The sequence below is a fragment of the Homo sapiens genome, chromosome X (genome assembly GCF_000001405.40).
Source record: "Homo sapiens chromosome X, GRCh38.p14 Primary Assembly".
Lineage (NCBI taxonomy): Eukaryota > Metazoa > Chordata > Mammalia > Primates > Hominidae > Homo > Homo sapiens.
This window is the reverse complement of record NC_000023.11, coordinates 41,841,703-41,863,315: the sequence shown is the minus strand read 5'-3', so window position 1 is coordinate 41,863,315 and position 21,613 is coordinate 41,841,703. Positions and strand designations below refer to the sequence as shown.

At 35.2% G+C, this 21,613-nt stretch overlaps 1 protein-coding gene across 11 annotated transcripts in view; it reads left to right on the top strand.

Moving 5' to 3' along the window:
- Positions 1 to 21,613, top strand: part of CASK (calcium/calmodulin dependent serine protein kinase) — a 408,621-nt gene that overhangs the window by 60,239 nt on the left and 326,769 nt on the right. For 7 of the 11 annotated variants that reach the window (NM_001126055.3, NM_001410745.1, NM_001126054.3 and 4 more), the window contains exon 2: positions 10,089 to 10,201. In NM_001126055.3, the coding sequence (NP_001119527.1) occupies positions 10,089 to 10,201 (113 nt within the window). Of the gene's footprint in view, positions 1 to 10,088; positions 10,220 to 21,613 lie in introns of all 11 variants that reach the window. The other 4 variants (XM_011543996.3, XM_011543995.3, XM_011543994.3 and 1 more) reach the window with 1 other exon arrangement.

Sequence of the window (21,613 nt, the reverse complement as noted above, 5' to 3'; positions counted from 1 at the left end):
CACTCATGCTACCTAGGGAGTATAGAGGTTAAGAATTTAGATTTCAAAGTTCCATATGTTTAGGCTCCAGTCCTAGCTCTAACATCCACTAACTGTTTGACCACAGACAACCTCTTAGCCTCAGTTTCCTAATCTATAAAATGAGGCTGATATTATATTAGCTATGATGACAAATAAATTATGATAAATAACAAGAATCTATGTAAACTTCTTAGCAGCATGCTTGCTGCTGACATGTTATATTATAAATGACAGTTGTTGATGTCTTCATTATCATGACCCGTTCCTTGAACTTTATACTCCTATCTATATGCCCTCTATAAATCTCTGCCTGGATATTCCATGGAAACCAATATTTTCCAAACATAGCCATGTGCTTCGTTTCTTTCTCAGCCTTCTATCAGTTCTTTCTCTTGTAATTCCTTTCTCATTTGGTGGTATCATTCACCCAGTAACTGTTGCCAGAAATTTGTAAGTTTTCTTACAACTCAACCCCAACCACCATCTAGCTAATCATTCACTGTGTTATCTTGTGAATTTATTTTCTTAAGTATCTCTCTGTCGCCTTTACTTTATCACCTCTTGCTTGGGCTAATGCAATAACTTCCTGAGTGGCTCCCACCCACTCCACAACGTCTCTCACTCTCTGTCATAGTGATCTTTGGTCCCCTTTTCCTTTTCCAGCCACTTCTCACCCTCCAGTTTTTCATGCTAGCAGTACCAAATAGCTTGAAGTGCCCAGCACACACTTTTTTTTTTTTTTTTTTTTTTTTCTGAGACAGAGCCTTGCTCTGTTGCCCAGGCTGGAGTGCAGTGGCATGATCTCTGCTCACTGCAACCTCCGCCTTCTGGGTTCAAGCAGTTCCCCTGCCTTAGCCTCCCAAGTAGCCGGGATTACAGGCATGCACCACCATGCCTGGCTAATTTTTGTATTTTTAGTAGAGACAGGGTTTCACCATGTTGGCCAGGCTGGTCTCGAACTCCTGGCCTCAAGTAATCTGCCCGCCTTGGCCTCTCAAAGTGCTGGAGTTACAGGCATGAGCCACTGCACCCTGCCAGGGCCCAAAACACCATGCCCTGTGTTTTGACTTGGCTGTAGGCCATTGCACAGGCTATTACTTACCTCTGGAATCCTCTCCTTTCCCTGCTTAGCCCAACAAACTCCTATTCATTGTTTCAAGCCCTCCAGGATGTCCGTGTGTCATAGAGGCCTTCTCTCAGTACCATGCTATCCACAGATTTTTAAAACTCATAGTGTTATACTATTTCTATACTTTATAACTTTACACTAACATTATATATAACGTATGTATACATACATAATGTATATATGTATGTGTATAATGTATATATACATATGTATACATACATATATAGTATATATAGTATATATACATATAATGTATATATACTATATATTATATATTATACTATATATACTGTATGTATATTATACTATATATTATATGTATATATTGTATGTATATATACATATATACAATATATACATTATATATACATATATACATGTAATATATATACATTATATATGTGTATATATACATGTAATATATATACATTATATATGTGTATATATACACGCACACACATATGTCAACAGCAGCCTACTAGATTGGAAGTTCCCTGAGGACAAGAATTGCTTTATTAATCTTTTTCTTGTTTATTCTTTATATTCTTTGTCTTATTTTCATTGGGGAAATGAGGTAAATAAGATAAAATGTGCAAATGTCAATAGAATTTTTAAAATCTTAGTGCTTTAATATTTATTTTTGATTTAGCTAAGATTGCCTAAAGTGTGTAACCAAGTCAGAATTCTCACTTTTGTAAGGTTTATCTTCATATGTTTTCTTGCTTGTTTCTTTCCATGCATGTCTAATCTCCTTCTTCACATTTCTTATGTTATAAAAATCTTTTTTCTTCTCTATTAATAGTTCTTGATATATCCTCCATCAAGTGTGAGCTAACAAAGACCTAGAATCGATGTCCCTCTACATTGGCTCTAACCCCAGCCCTTCTCACACACGCATGCACACGCACACACGCACACAAACACACACACACACCAATCAAATTTTCCAGAACCTTTGCTTTGAGCAGAAATTGCCTTATGTGACTGGCAGTCCTCTCATAAAAGTAGTAAATGATGAGTGTATTATAGTTAGACTCAGACCAGAAGATGGTGTGCTACATGAAATCTAAAGTGAAGTCTACTAAACTTCACTGAAGTATCAAGGTGTGACAGAGGTACTAATTATGTCAATATAAGTACTGAGTTAGTAAATGCTAGTCTTAACTCTGAATTGTTCAGCTTTGACAGGTGAGCTAGATTTGTTCCATTAGCTTATTGGAGATTCATTGCTAGCTGTTTCAAATAAACCTCCCCCTTCTATTTTCAAGGAATGATCTGAATCATACTCCTTTGTCAAGTCTTTAATTGTTAACATTTAGGCAACAGTTCCTGAGACTTTTATTTTAATAATTTTCCACTCCGTGTGTGTTTTTTGCGGTAGCAATGAGTAGGAAAACTTTTTTTTCTTTGGTTTAATCACTGTACCTAAAGCAACTCAGCTTGGTGAATGTATGTAAGCATATGTGTTGGAGCTGGGGATGGGTACCAGAAGTGTTAAAAAGTGTCAGGACAGCATCTCTGTTCCCTTACTGCTATCACATTGATTACCGCGATAATCATTGTCACAGCTGATTTTGTAAACCTTTAGGTTGAAAAGCTTTCACAAAGCTATCACAAAGCACAGGAAGACAAGGAAAGGATTTATTGATGAAATTATATGCATAAGCTCTTCTTTAGTGGCAATGACTACACTAAATAGTGTTGAAATAGGGAACAGACCATCGTTATCTTTAATCGGTAGAGTTTTTATATAAATTTATATATGTCTATAATTTTCAAGATTTTATTCTTACTGCTAATGTTGTCATTTATAGTTATTTTATTTTAGCTTTGTTTCCTTTTTGCCTACCCACCATCTATGTCCCTCAATTCTTAACGTCAGAACTGTATAAAAAGTAGTAGGAAGACACAGATTTAGAAAATGGGTAGAGAAATATCTAGAAGCACCATGATTTCTCAAAATTTTATGTACTTACATAAAATTGCGTTACTTAATAAATGTATCAATGGCTTATTCATTTCTAGTTTGTCATTTTTCTTATATCATTCACCAGATATTTTTTGAGGGCCTAATGTGTACTGGGTACTCATTAAGTTTATATTTTAATATGAATACACACACATAAATATAACATTACATATTATAAGTATATATGAAATAATATAAATACATGTATGTGTGTATATATGTGAATACACACAGTTTATTCTCATTATTCATGGTAGTTGTGTTCTATAAAGTTACCATGAATGCTGAATGAACCAATACTGAACCATTGCTCCTAGGGGAAGTACAAGGTTGGGTTCCTTCAAACCTCTGGTCACAACATTTTCATCAACCGATCAATACATAACCTTGTTTTATGTGTGCTTCTGTTTAAAGATACTGCATGTAATATATACTGTTGATTCATTAACATTGAACTCACAGCCAACATTGTTATAACTCATGCCTGAAGGAAGCTTCCCTAACTCACGTATTTTCCCCATAAGGCACATCACAGCCTTCTTGTGCTTAGGAACACTAGACAGTCCCTTCAGCACTATGCTTGGTGACCATATTAAACAGCAAAATCACCAAGAAAAAGCGCAAAATGCAAAAAAATGCTCTAAATAGACTTTGAAAAGATGACTTGTTGATGGCATGAGAGCTGAAACAAGAAGGCAGAGCATCATCTTGTTTGCCCTCAGCTGGCATCATGCACATTGGGTGATTCAAATTTTTCACCATTACATGCGTGCCTGTAAACGACTGAAAGTGCCATGACTGTTGATTTGGGGGTTATAAGTGAATTTTACCAAGTAGGCGAATTTACAGACATGCACTCTGCAATGTAATGAGGATCAGCTGTATATCAACTTTGTGTGTGTGTGTTGTGTATATATGTGTGTAAAAATTTGTTCTTGGCCTTCACTTTCCCCATCTTTGTCTTTTCTTTTTTAAATCATTCACGGTTTTCCTACGTATCTTGTGGTACATTGCACAATTCATTATAAATGTAATGGGGCTTCTAGGCCTGTTGTTATGGACAGAAATTTCATTGCGTTTATTAAAGGTTTCCTGAGACATGATGTGTTTTTGTTTATAGACCTCTCATAGGGTGAAAATTTAACATGTAACTCCAAAGTTTATATGTAGCAACTCAAAGTATTATTTTAAATTTATTACAATTAGATATAAAATTACAACTGACAATTCATATTGACTTTATTATGTTTGAGATGCAGTGTTTTTTTGAAGTGCCTTCAAAAGCCCTTTGTGCTCCTCCCCAATCACAACCCCCTCCCCCTCAAACCACTATCCTGCCTTTTATATTAATCTTTTTAAATTCTCTTTATAGCTTTACCCCCTATGTTTGTATCTCTAAGGAGTATATTGTTTAATCTTTTAGAACTGAGTAGCAAACACAAACTTAGCTGGGTAAAGAAAGGACAATATTACTACTATTGTATGAAGACTTAGGAGAAGAGAAGCTGAACAAGCTCTTGTTCATAGTCTGGCTTCAGATGTTCTGAGAGTGGTTAGGAGCCCATTCTGGGAAGTCGGTTGGCAAGGTCATGCACAAATAAATCCCGAGACAAGGGGCTCTTCACAGGCAGGACATTTCCGCTGTAGTGCAGGATAGGGGGAGGTACTGAGCACCCAGCAGGAATTTGGTGGGGGGCACTGGCTGCCCTGCATTTCCTGCTCTTCAGCTCCCTGATGCCTGCCTCCCATTCTCAGGAATAGGTCAAAGCAGGCACTGCTGTAGGGTGAAATTAAGAGTCCTCTGCTAGTCTAGGCAGCAGAGAAGGACAGAAATCTCCTCAGCCAATTGTCAGGAAAAGAAAAACAGAAGAATCTGGATGCAGCTCACCTACCTATTCTGTTTTCAGGTTAAAAAGGTGGCCCGTGGCAGTGGAAAACTGATGGCTCTCAGTCTGGATTGGTTGTCCTCTGTGCCTGAGGCACAGCTGTCAGCCTGAGATTTCCCTTCCTTGCATTCCTGGGGATTCCCTTCATCTCTCTTCTGTGTTGGATCTCCTATTTGCTGTCTCCAGGCATGCTTTTTATTGGTCTATTCTTGTTTTAGCAAACACGTCCTACAATAATTTCTTCAGAAAGTGTGCATGGCAAGTAATTTATTGACCTTTTTTGTCTGAAAATGTCCTTATGGTTAATGATGGTCTGGCTGGATGTTGAATTCAAGATTAGAAATCATTTTCCTTCATGATTATGATGGTGTTGCTCTATTGTCTTCTAGCGTTGGCATTGAGAGATCCAAAGCTATTCTGGGTGAATTGTGTCATCCTTCCTCGCTGCACATCTTTACCCCCACTTCTGGAAACCTGACAATCTCCTTGTCCACAGTGATTTTAAATTTCACAGCAGTGTGTGTATGGACATGGGTCATTTATTTTGCTGAGTACTTGGTGGGTCCTTTTAATTTGAGCTCCTTATGATTTAAATTCTGGGAAGTTTTCTTGGATTATTCCCTTAATTTCTTCCCCTTCATTTTCTTTGTTATTTATGCTCTGCTTTTCCCAAATTATCGGCCAACGCTTCTATTGATAAATTTCTCTGTGTGTTTTTCAAGGGCTCTTTTGTTTTCTGAAAGTTCTGGTTTTTGTTTCACAATTGTGATATCTTTCTGAGGATATTAATGGTAATTTGAAGTCTTATTGTGTAGTGTGTTTCCTCTAAGTTGCTCTTTTTGTTTGTTTTTGGTTCTATCTTCCAAATTAGAGACTCTTCAGATGTCTTAGGAGCCTTGGTTGTTGTATACTTATGATTAGAAATAGAGCAATGATTCTCAACTGGGGGCAATTTGAACCTTCCGTACCCCAGGAGGATATTTGGCAATATCTGGAGGACTTTTTGGTGGTTAAAGCTGCAGGGGGTGCTATGCTACTAGTATCTAGTAAGTAGAGGCTAGGGATGTTGCTGAACATCCTACAATGCATAGGACATCCCTGCACAACAAAAAATTATCTAGCTCAAAATGTTAATAGTGCTGATATTGGAAACCCTATAATAGAGGGCCTCAAAGCTGATTAAGAGAGCTCCGAAGGTGCAGGTGGAACGTGTTGACTTTGGGTTTTGCTGGAGGATGATCTAGTTGAGTAGTTTGGAGAACCTCTTCATTATCTTTAGGTCTTTTCTTCTGAGCTAGTCAGATATTCAATAGAAAAGTCTTTCATCTCCTGCCTTAAGGGTAAAGATCTGGCTTCCAATATTCCCCCTGTTAGTCAAAAAGGGACTCGGGCTGTCTGCGTTCAGTGTATATGTGACCACATAATACCCTTGCTTTTCATATAATACCCACTTCCTCAACAGCCTTGTGTTTCCAGTTGTGAGACCCTACAGTTTGGTTTTTTTTTTTTTTTTTTGAGACGGAGTCTTGCTCTGTCACCCAGGCTGGAGTGCAGTGGTGCGATCTTGGCTCACTGCAAGTTCCGCCTCCCGGGTTCATACCATTCTCCTGCCTCAGCCTCCTGAGTAGCTGGGACTACAGGCGCCCGCCACCAAGCCCAGCTACTTTTTTTCAGAGACCCTATGTTTTATTTACTCTTTCCAGATAATTAACCTGTTGGGATGAGGGAGCGGCAGTTATCCATGGTATGGAGTACAGGAGACCACCTAGGGCTCTAACTGCTTCTCTAACACATTTCATTCAAACCTTGTTACTTTAACTCTACCCTCTCTTCACTTCCAGTTCCAGAGTTATCTGGAACCCATTCATGAGTTTCTTGGGGATTCTACAGTATAGATGGGTTTGGTTCTGAACTTTCCTTATTATCTCTTTGCAGTTCAGCTTTTCCAGGTCTGCCAAGTCAATTACCACTCTCCATCTGCTTTCTTGGATTCCAAATTTAATTATTACTATTATCTCCTCTCTTGTACTCCCAATCCTTTTTAAAAACCCCTTTGGTATCATTGTAGTGGAGTTTGGATAGGGAAATAAATTAGATACATTGTGCTCAATCTATCCCATGATCCTGGAAACCAACATGCTGTATTCTAGCATAATTTCATTTAATTCTAGTCTTATTTTGGTATATTTACCTTTGTTATCAGAATTATTTCCTAGACTTAGGTTTTCTTCACATAAATGAAAACTAGAGGATATTAGTCTGTGTCTGCATAGGGACATAATTGAATTCTTTTCAAAACCTTAGGGGATATTGTAGTGATATATTCACTTCTAACATATTCTGGTTTAATTTACCTTTTTGCTTAAAAACATAGACTGCTGTAAGCAGCCATCTGCCTCAAGTAGAACCTTGTTTTACCATCCCAATCAATATTCAGAATTTGTAAAGAGTTGAATAAAGAATATATATTTCATTAAATCTGAAATGCTGTCAATTATCTTTTTCCATTTTTAATACGGTCATAATTAGTGGAAATATGAGAAAGATAGTTGTTTATGATGACGGCTTATAACTATCTCTACCAGTATTTTCCCCCACATAAATATTCAAGAATTGACTGTACCTTAGATTTAAAATTTTAAGGGTGATTTCAAACATCAATAAAATGTACAGGCCAGACTGAAACCTATACCTCCTGAATTTTTGCTGTTCCCTAAACTGTCATCCAAGCATAAGTAATAAGTGTAATATAGTAGGTGTGTTACACTACTTTATCACTCCTCCCTTTTTAAGATGGGAAACCAAGCCAAATTTTAAATTTTTTATCAGTTTCTGCTGAGTTTCCAGTTAATGGGTTAAATCGCAAAAACCTCAAAACGTATTTTAGTATCTTTTTAGGGTGTTAAATTTGGTTTACCATTGTTAACCCCCTGGATGTCATTGACGGACAGACCCTTAAAATGCTTTACTTGTAACCTGTCTTCAGGTCTTCAGTAGTTCATAGATATAATTATTTTCTTTGCCTCGTACTATAAAATTAAAGAATTGGGGATTTGATTTGATTTTTATTCACAGATTTTTAAAAGTTTGTGTTTTGTTGTCTAAGTATTCTCTTTTCTCCCTAGCTCTATTAATTTTATTGTTACTAAAAGAAAAGGGGGGAGAAGATATGCTTTCTTCCTCACCTTTGTTCAAGCAGGAAAAAGTAAAGAATTGACTCGATTGACCATGAACAATCAACCCCACATACAGATGTTGGGAAGTTTCCAAAAAGATACAGTGAATTGAAGCAGACTATTCAAATGTATCATAAATAGAGTCCCAAGGGTTTATGTGTGGACAAAAACCAATTACATGAAGCATTTCCTGAAATTGCTTGCTATTGTCAGGATAAGTAATCAGAAGTAAGACATCCAGGTTGAGAATGAAAACGTTTGTCCCTCAGTTTGTAATATTGTCTTCTCACAGAGGAAAATCTTTGAACAGTTTTGAGGGATTATCAAAAGGATCCTCTTTCTGTAGAGTTTTGAAAGATATATTATTACCATTTCTTTTCCTCCCAGGTTAGCTTTTTTAGGTTGCTTGAAAAGAGAGATTTGAAGCTGTGGTATAGTTGATGTCCTCATGATGTCATCTTGGATAAATGTTTAAGTCTAAGATTAAATTTAGTAGTTCGTCCTGTAGTTGAAAGAAGAAAAACTTTAAGGCCAGCAGTATCACAAGTGTAGTACTGTAAATGAAGAACTTTTCTCTATCTGCTAATTGAGCACATGCATCTAGGTGTACTGTTTGTACCTGTAATAAGCGAATGAAGGTGGTTTTTTTGTTTGTTTGCCTTCTCCCCAGGAGGGGGAAAATACACGCATGTATACATGTACACATGTATTTAATGACCACCATATTAACCTTCAAATAAACCAATCACATTGCTATTGCATTCTGTATTTTATAGTCAATTCACACACACACAAATCTATATTTGGATTATCTTAACTGAGTTCAGATATTTCTTTTATAACTGGTAACCACAGGGAACCGTGTGTGTGTGTGTGTGTGTGTGTGTGTGTGTGTGTGTGTGTGTGTGTGCGCGCGCCCGCGCGCGCGCGCATGTTCCCTGGACCAGGGTATGGGCATCTTTAAATCATCTCAGCTGATTCAACTGTGAGGTCTGGGTCAGCAAATAGCTAGACCAGTGGCTGTGCTCATAGAAATTACTTCCTTTCCTCTAGTAATTTCAAACAATTCTAATTTGAAGTTTGAGGAAAATTAAGGATTTCTCTGTGATTTCAGGTGAAACTGGAGAGGGTTGGAGACCAAACCACGCAGGCCTTTCTCTTTGTAAAGTGTTTGTTCAAGTCTTTTGCCCAGATTTTATTGGAGTGTGTTTTTTTTCTTATTGTATTTACAAGTTACTTATATATTTTGGTTCTTGACTTGGACTGTATATTGCAAATACTTTCTCTCTCTCTGGTGTTTTAAACAGGGATATCATATCAGATTTTCATTTTTTAAATATCATTACAAGAATGAATGGGAGAAACAAGTTTTTCAGTGGTTCTAGTAGAAGATGGTAGGATGTGGGACATGGAGAGAAGAGGACAGGTTCAAGAGATATTTGAGATAAACTCAGTAGGATTTGTTAGTGATGATTAGGTAAATGGTGGGTAAGATGAGAGGGAAGTGTCAAGAATGGCTTGGGTTTCTGGTTCATAAGAATACCACCATTACTATGGACTTCACTTATTTTGTTTAAGATGTTGATAATCTATATAGAATTGTACAGTCATTATTTGCCTTGAGCATAAGACTACTATTTAGAATTTTTAAAAAATTACTGCAAATTGCAAATTTATTGGTCATTTTTATGGTTTTGGTAATCTTTTAAAATTATCTCATGAATTATAGAAAAATATGTTGGAAGTTATATTACTTAAATTTTATTTTGAAAACTGTGTTCAATTTGGAGTCTAAAGTAGAATGGCAAACATTATCTATATTATATAGATAATGAAACAGTAAGACATTAATGGGAAATAGGAACTTAAGAGAATCAATGAATTAAAATTGACTTTTTGTTTTATAGGGGTCCCTTCAGTGTTGTACGACGATGTATCAACAGAGAAACTGGGCAACAATTTGCTGTAAAAATTGTTGATGTAGCCAAGTTCACATCAAGTCCAGGGTTAAGTACAGAAGGTAAGAGATGGATTTCAAGTAAGTTATTTGATGTCTGGCTTTATTCCATCTCCAAAATCCATTTACCAACCTAACCTTCATCTGGGGGTGGGGAAGCAGAGGGTATGATGTAGAGGGAAGTGGGTGGAGACAGTTTAAACTCTATTCTAGTTTGTCAGAATTCTAGGACATAGTATTTGAAAGACAGGGTAATTTACAGAGTTATAAAATCATCTAGGATTTCTATGGGCCTATGTTTTTTGACTAGGAAGAAAGCAAAAATCTGGGCTTTTTTTTTAGGGTCTAATTTTGAATTATATTGTGTGGGTCATGGGATGGGAAAGGAAGGAGGTGAAATAATGGCAAGAATGATAATTGAAGATTCAGAAGAAACTTAGTTACCTCAAAATGCATCACTTACTACCTTTAGGATTATGATTTAGTGGAATCAAAAGATTCATATCTCACATTTGGCTTAAGTCACATATGATATATGTGTAAAAATTTGAAAGGTCAGTACTGTTAGGACTTTCAGGACTTAAAATTTTGTTTCAATACATTATTATAGATAATCATATTTATATGTATATTTATAAACAGTACGTAAACATTTTAAAGTTTTATTTTGTTTGTTTTTTAAGCCATAGTTTCATGTAACTGTGACATACATGCTCATACTTCAGATGGCACAATTGATCATGATACTAACTTTTCTAATTAGCCCATTACTAACTTTTCACTTTTCCACAGTTCAGTAAAATATGAATCCTTCTTTAGTCCTTCCCTTTTTAATCCCAAGAGCAATACAGTTGATAATTTAGATTGGAAAATCTAGGGCAGTGTAGCCTATTTATATTTTATCCAGTTATTTTACTTTGGGAAGTAGAAGCCCACATATTGTGAGCTTCAAGTTTGTCTGTTCCTGGAGATCTTTTTTTCTTTTAAATACTTTTGTGACCCTTTGAATTATTATTATTCATATAATGATTATGGAAGATTCTTAGAAGTTGCTACTCACAAAGAATAACTGATTTGTTTTTAGTGCTTTAATATTTAAAATATTATGGTAAGATTTAGAGATTTTATATTTTATGGTTTTATGCTCTAGAATTGGCTATTATTGCTTTTGAATATAAATTATTTTATAAATCTAGCAACATTTAAAATTGACTTTTAAGTGGGGTTTAGAACAAAATTATATTTCCTTACACCTTTAACTGCCTTTAAGCTTAATATTCTATATTTGATTTTTCTCTACCTCTGTTGTCTGACCAAATACTGAGGTAATTTTGTATAAACCTAATTCATTAAACATATGTTCTGATCCTGTTTATAAACTTAGTAAGATTCCAATTTTAAATCACAAGTCTAAGTCAGTTACTCAGTTACCAATATTAAATTGGAATAATATAAGCCAAATTCTCTTAAGCATTGTTATAAATAATTAAAATAAATATTAATAGCTTCTTTTTCAACCCAAAATTATCAATACCAGAGTTTTGACTTATCTCATTGTTGTACCAAATTCTAAATCTCCCCAGGCTAAAGACATTCTTTCGGGAAACAATTACTTACCTTCTCATTGGCTGAGGTTGTTTATTGACAGATTTCTTCAGCCAGATCTCTTGAGCTACAGACTCAGAATGCCAAGCTGAACCTGTCTCTTGTCACTTGGTCAGGGAGTCAAATTCCAAATTTACAAAAGGGGAAAGTACTTAGTATATAGTTCATATACCTGGTATTAAGTCCTGTCTTCATTTAATATAATATATGGGAGTCTGTTGCTGAAGTTATAGCTCACTCCTTCATTACTTTGCCATTGCTTTGGCTATATAAATGTCTTCAAGTCCTATTCTGAAGACAAAGCCACCCATTCTATTGATCCCTCATACTCTTAAGCCTCCTTGAACTTAATAGAATCATGTACTCTTTTCATATCCTTCCTATATGGTAGGACCACAGCGTATAGATATTAAATGACATCCAGTTGGATTTGGGATATTACTCATGACTTTATCTGATTTTGGTCGGAGTTTAGTGGTATTCAAGTGAAAATATGCAATTGGCCCTTTATGTTTATGGCACCAGAATTAAGTTTTTCCATCTTCTTTAGCACAGCGACTCAGTATAAAGTTAGGAAACAATCAAAATTCCATCTCCACCACCTCTACCTTTTTTTCTTGCGATGGGATTCCCATGCCCTCTGTTGCTCATGTTCACACAAGCTTTCTTGATTCTGACTTGGACACATTTTATTATAAGATGTATAATATATGTAATAAATAGTAAATTATTTCATTATATAAAGTCTCTGTGAACAGTGCTTCCCCTCCCTCAACTTCTTTCAACCCTTTTCCAGTCACTATGGGCAACACATCTTAACTCCTCTGCTCTTCTGGTCCATTTACAAATTGTTAGGGTCCAAAAATGACCTCATTCATGGCTTAGCATAGAAGGAGATGCTACATAAGAAGACACATATTTTGAAGTAAAATTTAACACAGTAAAAAGGAATCCATAAGTTCAAATAATATCTAGAAATATCTATATTTACCGTTACATTCTTTCCCAAATAAACTTATCTCTTAAGCAACAGATAATTTAAAATCTATTTTATTCTTTATTCTTTCCTTTTTGTTTCATTTTATTATTTTATTTTTGGCTTAGTGGTTTGTTTGCTCTTTGTTAATTACCTCAATATTTTTTCTTGTTTTCCTAGTGTACTTGTATTCAAATACATTATTGAGTGAAATAGGTCTTTAAAGGGTTATCTAAGAACCTACCATATGCTATTTATTTGGATAGGTCATTATAATACAAATGATAAATAAAAAGAGCCCCTAGCCTTATGGGACCTATGTTTTAATAGTCTCCAACCATTGTTTATAACATGGTTTTTATTAGGAAAACAATGTGTAATAAATTCGAAGTAAATCATTTACAAATTAATTTTTTTTGAGATGGGGTCTCTCTCTTGCCCAGGCCAGAGTGCAGTGGTGCAATCATGGCTCATTGCAGCCTCGACCTCCTTGGGCTCAGGTTATCCTCCCACCTCAGCCGCCTGAATAGCTGGGACTACAGGCATGCGCCACCACACACAGCTAATTTTTTGTATTTTTTGTAGAGATGAGGTTTTGCCATATTGTTCAGGCTGATCTCAAACTCCTGAGCTCAAGTGATCTACCCACCTCGGCCTCCCAAAGTGTTGGGATTACAGGCATGAGCCTCCACTCCCAGCCCACAAATTTACTTTTGAAATGAAATGTGTTGATTTGTTGCAGACCACCTGTACGTTTTAATATTTTAAATTCTCATTGCTCTAATGAAGATGAGATATTATAATTGGTGAGGCTAAAGATGAGACATTTCATAACAGATGAGATATTTTTGAATATCTGTTCTCTACTTTTGCCATCAAAATCATAATTTTTATTTTATAGGGCTTCTTAACTTGCAGGTTGCCGACTATTCAATAATCCCTTGAAATAGTAAGCAGAATTATGTTTATTTTTTTAGAGAGTCCATAGCTCTTATTAGATTCCTAAAAAGGCATATTATTCCTAAATGATTTAGAATTTCTCCTTTCACATGTATGAAAAAATGAAATTCATGCTTATGAACATGAGATGAATAAGAAGTTTCTACTAAATCAAAACTGGATGAATTTATATTAGGATATGACTTCTGATTGGGGGATTTTTTATACTTACATATACAGCTTCCATTAATGAATTTCCTAGATTATTATCTTGAACTTTTAATTAATATACTTTTTGTCTCTTACTCTACTGAGCCACTAATTTAGAGTTTTTGTCTTAAAAATAGATATCAAAATTAATTCAGACAAATTATAATAAGGAAACTAAAGGAAAGTAAGATGTATAGAATTGGAAACTAAATTATCAAAGTTCTGAGTTCTTGATAGGACTCAATTCTTTATGGTTTATTATAAAAGTCCAAAATTAACTGTTTTTATTTGGGAGTATTATAAATTGTGTTCTAGAAAGAGTATATTTTGGGCTCCAGTTTGCTTAGTCTTCAAGAATGTCTCATTCTAAAGTCCCAGATAGTAGGTGATATCAGTGAAATTGAAGAAGTAAGGACCTTGACAGTTCTCACTTTTCATTTAAAAAAAAGAGAAAACTGACAGAAATGTCAGAATCAACTTTTTCAGGGCTCTGGAAATTGACCAAAGGCTTACAGCTATCCAGGAATAATTTATTCAAGAAAACTGACTGATTCTTAGTAACAACAGTGAACTTCATAGCATTGTATAATAATTTGTCCCATTCACATCCCCCTTTCTTCCAGTTCTGTAGTAACCTTGAAAACAAACAGTTCACAATCACGATGAAAACCAGCAACTTGACAGCCATCAAAGGAGGCTGAATGGGGATGGAGCTCCTCTAAGGCCGCATTCCCATAATATTGTCATTTTTTTACTTGTCTGGTAGTTCCCTGGAAGACTTGTCTTAGTACATTTGTGTTTCTATAAAGGAATACCTGAGAGTGGGTAATTTATGAAGAAAAGAGGTTTATTTGGCTCATGGTTCTACAGGCTGTACAAGAAGCATGACACCAGCATCTGCTTCTGGTGAGGGCTTCAGGAAACTTCCAGTCCTGGTGGAAGGGGAAGGGGAACCAGTGTGTACAGAGATCACCTGGCAAGAGAGGAAGCAAGAGAGAGATGGGAGGTACTAGGTTGTTTTTAACAACCAGTTCTCATGATAACTAACAGAGTGAGAACTCACTTGTTACTGCCAGGATGGCACCAAGGCATTCATGAGGGATCCACCCCCCTGACTCAGACAGCTCCATTGGGCCCCTACCTTCAACATTGGGGATCAATCTTCAACATGAGGTTTCAGGGGACAAACATCCCAACTATAGCAACCCCTCTTGCAATACCATCTTTAATTGGCCTGACTCAGAGATCACCCAGTGCAAAAAAAGTTTCCTCTGGGGGCATTTGCCAAAAACCTTTAGAGGTAGTTGTTTAATTTCATTGCTGCCTGAGGCATAGATAACAGCTGGGCAAACAAAAAGCTAACCTAAAAGCTTAAAACAAAAAGCTAGCTAATGAGATGCCCATAGAGGCTTTGAAAAAGCTACAACGTATTCTCTAGAAAATACTATGTTAAGAAGGCCATGCACATATATAAGGCTATGAACAAGCTCAGGAAAAATCTAAGAAGGCCTTAATTTCTCACCTCTAGCTGACTTTCAGGCTACATAAACAGGAATTGAATGATAAGGTAGAAATGTGAACTCCCTGACTGAGTGTTGAAGGTATGCCCTACACATCCACAAAACCCTTGAGCAAAGACTAAACTAAATAAGCAGAGACTTAAGTGGCCACACATAAAAAAGAATACAGACTGCAGAATGTGTTCCCCCAAAAAATCACTAAGCAAAGAGCAGGAGTAACAATAAACAGCAACAATAAATCCTGCAGAAAAGGAGATTCTGATTTTTAGAGTTGACACATAATATTATTTAAGACACTCAGTTTTCAACAAAAAATTATGAGGCATGCAAAGAAACAAGAAAATATAGCTCACACTTTGGGGGGAAAAGCAATCCATAGAAACTGTTCCTGAGCAAACCCAGATGTTGGACTTACTAGAAAAAGAGTTACCAAATGGAAAGTATCAATAATGAGATAGAAACTATAAAAAACAAAAAGAGAAAATCAAATCAAAATTCTGGAATTGAAAAATACAGTAACTAAAGAGGCTCAGCAGCAGATATGAGCAGGCAGAATAAAGAATCGGAACCAGAAGACATGAAGATAGGTTCATTATAATTATCTGGTCTTCAGAACTGAAAGATAAAAGAATGAGCAAAATGAGCAGAGCCTCAGAGACCTCTGGGGATACCATCAAGCATACCAACATATGCATAATGAGAATTTCAAAAGGAATGGAGAGAAAGGAGTAGAAAGAATATTTGAAGAAATAATAGTCCAAAACTTCTTAAATTTGATGAAAACATAAATCTACACAACCAATAAGTTCAGCAAACTCCAAGTAGGATAAATGCAAAAACAAACCATAATCAAGTTGTCAAAAGCTACAGACAAGGGGAGTATCTTGAAAATAGCAAGGGAGAACTGAATCATCACATACAAGGGATCTATAAAAATATTAACAGCAGATTTCTTTCAAAAACCAAGGATACTGAAAGGCAACAGGATAACATTCAAAGTGCTGAAAGAAAAATAATATCTACCAAGAATTCTTTATCCAGCAAAACCATACTTCAAACATGTAGGATAAATGAAGATATTGTCAGATAAAGAAAAACGGATAGAATTTGTCACTAGCTTCCTTGTCCTACAAGGAATACTAAACGTAGTTATTTATGCTAAAAGGAAAACTTATTTTTTTAATTTTTAATGTTTATGGGTACATAGTAGGTATATATATTTATAGGTCACATGAAATATTTTGATACAGGCATGCAATCACATCAGGATAAATGAGGTATTCATCACTTCAAACATTTAACCTTTGTGTTACAAACAATCCAGTTATATTCTTTCAGTTATTTTAAAATGTACAATTAAATTATTAAATTATTTTTGACTGTAGTCATCCTGTTGTGCTAGCAAATACTAGGTCTTATTCATTCTTTCTATTTTTTGTACCCATTAACCATCCCTACTTTCCCCAACCCCTACTAGCCCCCCGCCCCCCCAACTACCCTTTCCAGCCTCTGGTAACCACTCTTCTACCTGTATCCTCCTGACTTCAATTATTTTAATATTTAGCTCCTACAAATAAGTTAAAACATGCAATGTTTGTCTTCTTGTGCCTGGCTCATCTCATTTAACATAATGACCTCCAGTCCTATCCATGTTGTTGCAAATGACAGGATCTCATTCTTCCTTATGACTGAATAGTACCCCATTGTGTATATGTACCACATTTTCTTTATCTATTCATCTGTTGATGGACACTTAGGTTGATTCCAAGTCTTGGCTATTGTGAATAGTGCTGCAGTAAACATGGGAGTGCAGATACCTCTTCAATATTCTGATTTCCTTTCTTTTGGGTATATACCTAGGAGTGGGATTGCTGGATTGTATGATGGCTCTATTTTTAGTTTTTTGAGGAACCTCCAAACTGTTCTCCATAGTAGTTGTACTAATTTACATTCTCACCAACAGCGTACGAGGGTTACCTTTTCTCTACATCCTTGCCAGCATTTGTCACTGCCTAACTTTTAGATAAAAGCCATTCTAAGCATAGTAAAAGGAAGTGTAGTAAAAGGAATGACAAGAAATCAAAGTAGAACACCATAAAATATCTATTTAACACAAAAGGAGGCAGTATTGGAGGAATACAGGAAAAAAAAGACAGATAGAAAACCAGTAGTAAAATTAGAAACATAAATTGTACCTTGTCAGTAATAATATTAAATATAAATGAATTAAACACTCCAATTACAAGGCAGAGATTGGCAACATGGATGAAAAACAGGTGAGATGGTATCTCATGTCGTTTTTTGCTGTCTGGAAGAGACATACTTCAGATTTAAAAAATACATATAAGTTGAAAGTAAATGAGTAGAAAATGATATACTATGCAAATAGTAACCAAAAGAGCTCTGAAGTGGCTATTACTAATATCAGATGAAATAGACTTTAATAATTAAATCAGAAATTTAATAGTCAAACAAATTGTTACTAAAGAAGGACATTTTATAACAATAGCAGCATTAATCCATCAAGAAGATTTAGCAATTATAAACACATATGCACCTAAGAACAAAGCTCCAAAATACATGAAACAGAAAAAGGCAGAATTGGAGGGAGAAATAGAGAATTCAGCAATAATAATTGGAGACTTCAATACCTGACTTAATAATGGATTCAACAACTAAACAGAAGATCATTAAAGAAAGAGAAGGTAGATTTGGGCAACACTAGAAACCAACTAGACCTAACAGACATCTGTAGAACACTCCACTCAACAACAGGAGACTATACATTCTTTTCAAGTACACATAGAACATTATCTAGGATAGACTGTGCATTAGCCCATCAAATATGTCTCCATCAATTTTAAAATATCTGAAATCATACAAAGTATCTTCTCTGGCCACAATGGAATGGAATCAGAAATCAATAACGGAAGCAAATTTGGGAAATTCACAAAGATGTGGAAATTAACATAGTAGCCAGTGGGTCAAAGAAGAAATTACAAGAATACTTTAAAAATACTCTGAGATGAATGAAAACAAAAATATAACTTACCAATATTTATGAGATGCAGCAAAAGCAGTGATTAGGGGGAAGTTTATTATTGTAAATGCCTATATTGAAAAGTAAGAAAGAGCTCAAATCAATAATTTAACCTTTCACTTTAAGAAACTGGAAAAGAAAACTAAACTTGACAGGCAGAAATAAGGAAGTAATAAGGATTATAGGAGACATAGAGACTAGAAAAACAATGGAAGAAGTCAATAAAACCAAAAGTTGTTTCTTTGAAAAGGTAAAAATAAAATTGAGTAGGCTTTAAACTGACCAATAAAAAGAGACAACTCAAAGTAATAAAATCCATAATAAAGGAAGGGACATTACTACTGACCTTATAAAAATGAAAAGGATTATAAGAGAATATGCTGAAAAATTGTATGCCACTTAATTAGATAGCCTAGATTAAATGAGCTAATTCCTAGAAAGAGGCAAACTACCAAAACTGACTCAAGAAGAAATAGAAGATCTAAGTAAACCTGTAATAAGAAATAGACTGATATGTACTCAAAATTTTCCCATAAAGAAAAGCCCAGGCCCAGATAGCTTAATGGTGAATTCTACTACATGTTTATAGAATTCATATAATTCCTTCACACATATTTCTGAAAAATAAGAGAGGGAACACTTCTCAACTTTTTGTATAAGGCCTGCAATACCCTGATACCAAAACCAGACAAAGATATTGTAAGAAAGGACCAATATCCCTTATGAATGTAAACACACACATTCTCAAGAAAATACTATCAAACTGAGTTTAGCAATTTAAAAAATGTTCTGTAGTTCTTCAGAAAGTTAAATCTAAGGTTATATGACCCAGCCATTTTACTCCTAGACATATGCCTAAGAGAAATGAAACATATATCCAGATAAAATCTTGTATATGAATGTTCATAGCAGCATTATTCATAATAGCTGGAAGATAGAACCCAAATGTCTACCAACTGATGAATTTATAAACTAAATATGGTATATCCATACAATGGAATGATTTTTTCAACCATAAAAAGGAATGACATACTGATATAAGCTACAACATGAATGAATCTTGAATATATTGTGCTAAGTGAAAGAAGCAAGTCACACGAGATTACATATGTTCTATTCATGTGAAATTTCCAGAATAGGCAAATCTATCAGAAGGAAGTAAATTAGTGGTTGCCCAGGGTATGGAGAAAGATGAGATGGGGAGTGTCTGGTAATGGGTATGGGATTTCTTTTCGAAGTGATTAAATGTTCAAAATTTGAACACAGTAATGGTTGCATGACTGTGAATATACTAAAATCCATTAAATTGTATACTTTGTGGACAAATTGTATGATAAGTTAATTGTACCTGAATAAGGATTTTTTAAGTACCACGAGTAAGTAGAATTATAACAGAAATTCAAGCTTGTTTAAACATTTAAAAATCAACGTCATACACCTTATTAATAGAAAAATGAACAACAGTCCACATGATCATCTCAGCAGACAAAAAGCATTTAACAAAATTCAACCCCCTTTCATGATAAAAACACTCAACAACCTACAAATAGAAGGGAATTTCTTTAACCTTTTAAAAGACATCTAGGAAAAACCAAAGTCTAACTTTATATTTAATGTTGTAAGATAATGCTTTCCTCCGAAGATCAGGAATAAGATAAGAGTATCTGTTCTCAACATGTTTATTCAACATTGTACTGGAAATTTTAGCCAAGGCAGTTATGCAAGAAATAGAAATAAAAGCATCCAGATTGAAAAGGAAGACTTAAAATGCCCTCTATTGGCATATAACATTATCATGTATATATGAAAATCCAAAGAAATTCACAAAAAGACTTAGATGTAATAAGTGAGCTTAGCAAGGTTGCAGGATACAAGATAAATATACAAAAACCAATTGTATTTGTATACACAAGCAGTGAAAAATCTAAAAATGAAGTTAAGAAAGCAATTCCATTTACCACAGCATCAAAAAGAATAAAATACTTAGGAAGATATTTAACCAAGGAAGTGCAAGGCTAATAAATGGAAAACTATATTGTTGAGAAAAATTAAGGAAGTCCTAAGTAAATGGTAAGATCTCTCGTGTTTGCCTACTAGAAGACTTAATATTAAAGTGAAAATATTTCCCAAATTGATCTATAGATTCAGTGCTATCTCTATCAAAATCCCTACTGGCGCTTTTTGCAAAAATTGACAAACTAATCTAAAAATTTACATGGAAAAGCAAGGTACCCCGAGTAGCCTTAACAATCCTGAAAAACAATGGACAAAGTTGGAGTACTCACATTTTTCAACTTCAGAATTTTTTTTTTTTTTTTCCTGGAGACAGAGTTTCACTCTTGTCACCCAGGCTGGAGTGCAATCTCGGCTCACTGCAACCTTCGCCTCCTGGGTTCAAGTGATTCTTGTGCCTCAGCCTCCCAAGTATCTGGGATTACAGGTGTGTGCCACCACACCTGGCTATTTTTTTTGTATTATTAGTAGAGATGGGGTTTCACCATGTTGGCCAGGCTGGTCTTAAACTCCTGACCTCAGATGATCTGCCCACCTCGCCTCCCAGGGTGCTGAGATTATAGCCATGAGCCACTGCGCCTGGCCCAGAATTTTCTATAAAGCTACATTAATACACATAGTGTAACCCTGGCATAAGGATAGACATATAGATTGATGAAATTGAATTAACAATCCAGTAGTAAATCCATATATTTACAGTCAAATAATTTTCAACTGTGGTGCCAAGACAGTTCAATGGAGAAAGAATAGTTTCTTCAAAACAGTGGTATTGGGACAACTGGAGGCTGACATGCAAAAGTTTGAAGGTGGACCTCTACCCTACACCATATACAAAAATTAACTCAAAGTAGATCAAAGATCTAAATGTATGAGTTAACACCATGCAATTTTAAAAGAAAACATAGGCATAAATCTTTGTGACCTTGGATTAAGTAGTGGTTTCTTCATTATTACACCTAAAGCACAAGCAACCAAAGAAAAAAATAGATAATGGGATTCATCATAATTTAAAATTTTTATGCTTCAGTAGACACTATCAAGAAAGTAAAAAGAGGCTAGGCGTGGTGGCTCATGCCCATAAGCTCAGTACTTTGGAAGGCCAAGGCATGCAGATCACTTGAGGTCGAGTTCAAGACCAGCCTGGCCAACATGGCAAAACCCTGTCTCTACTA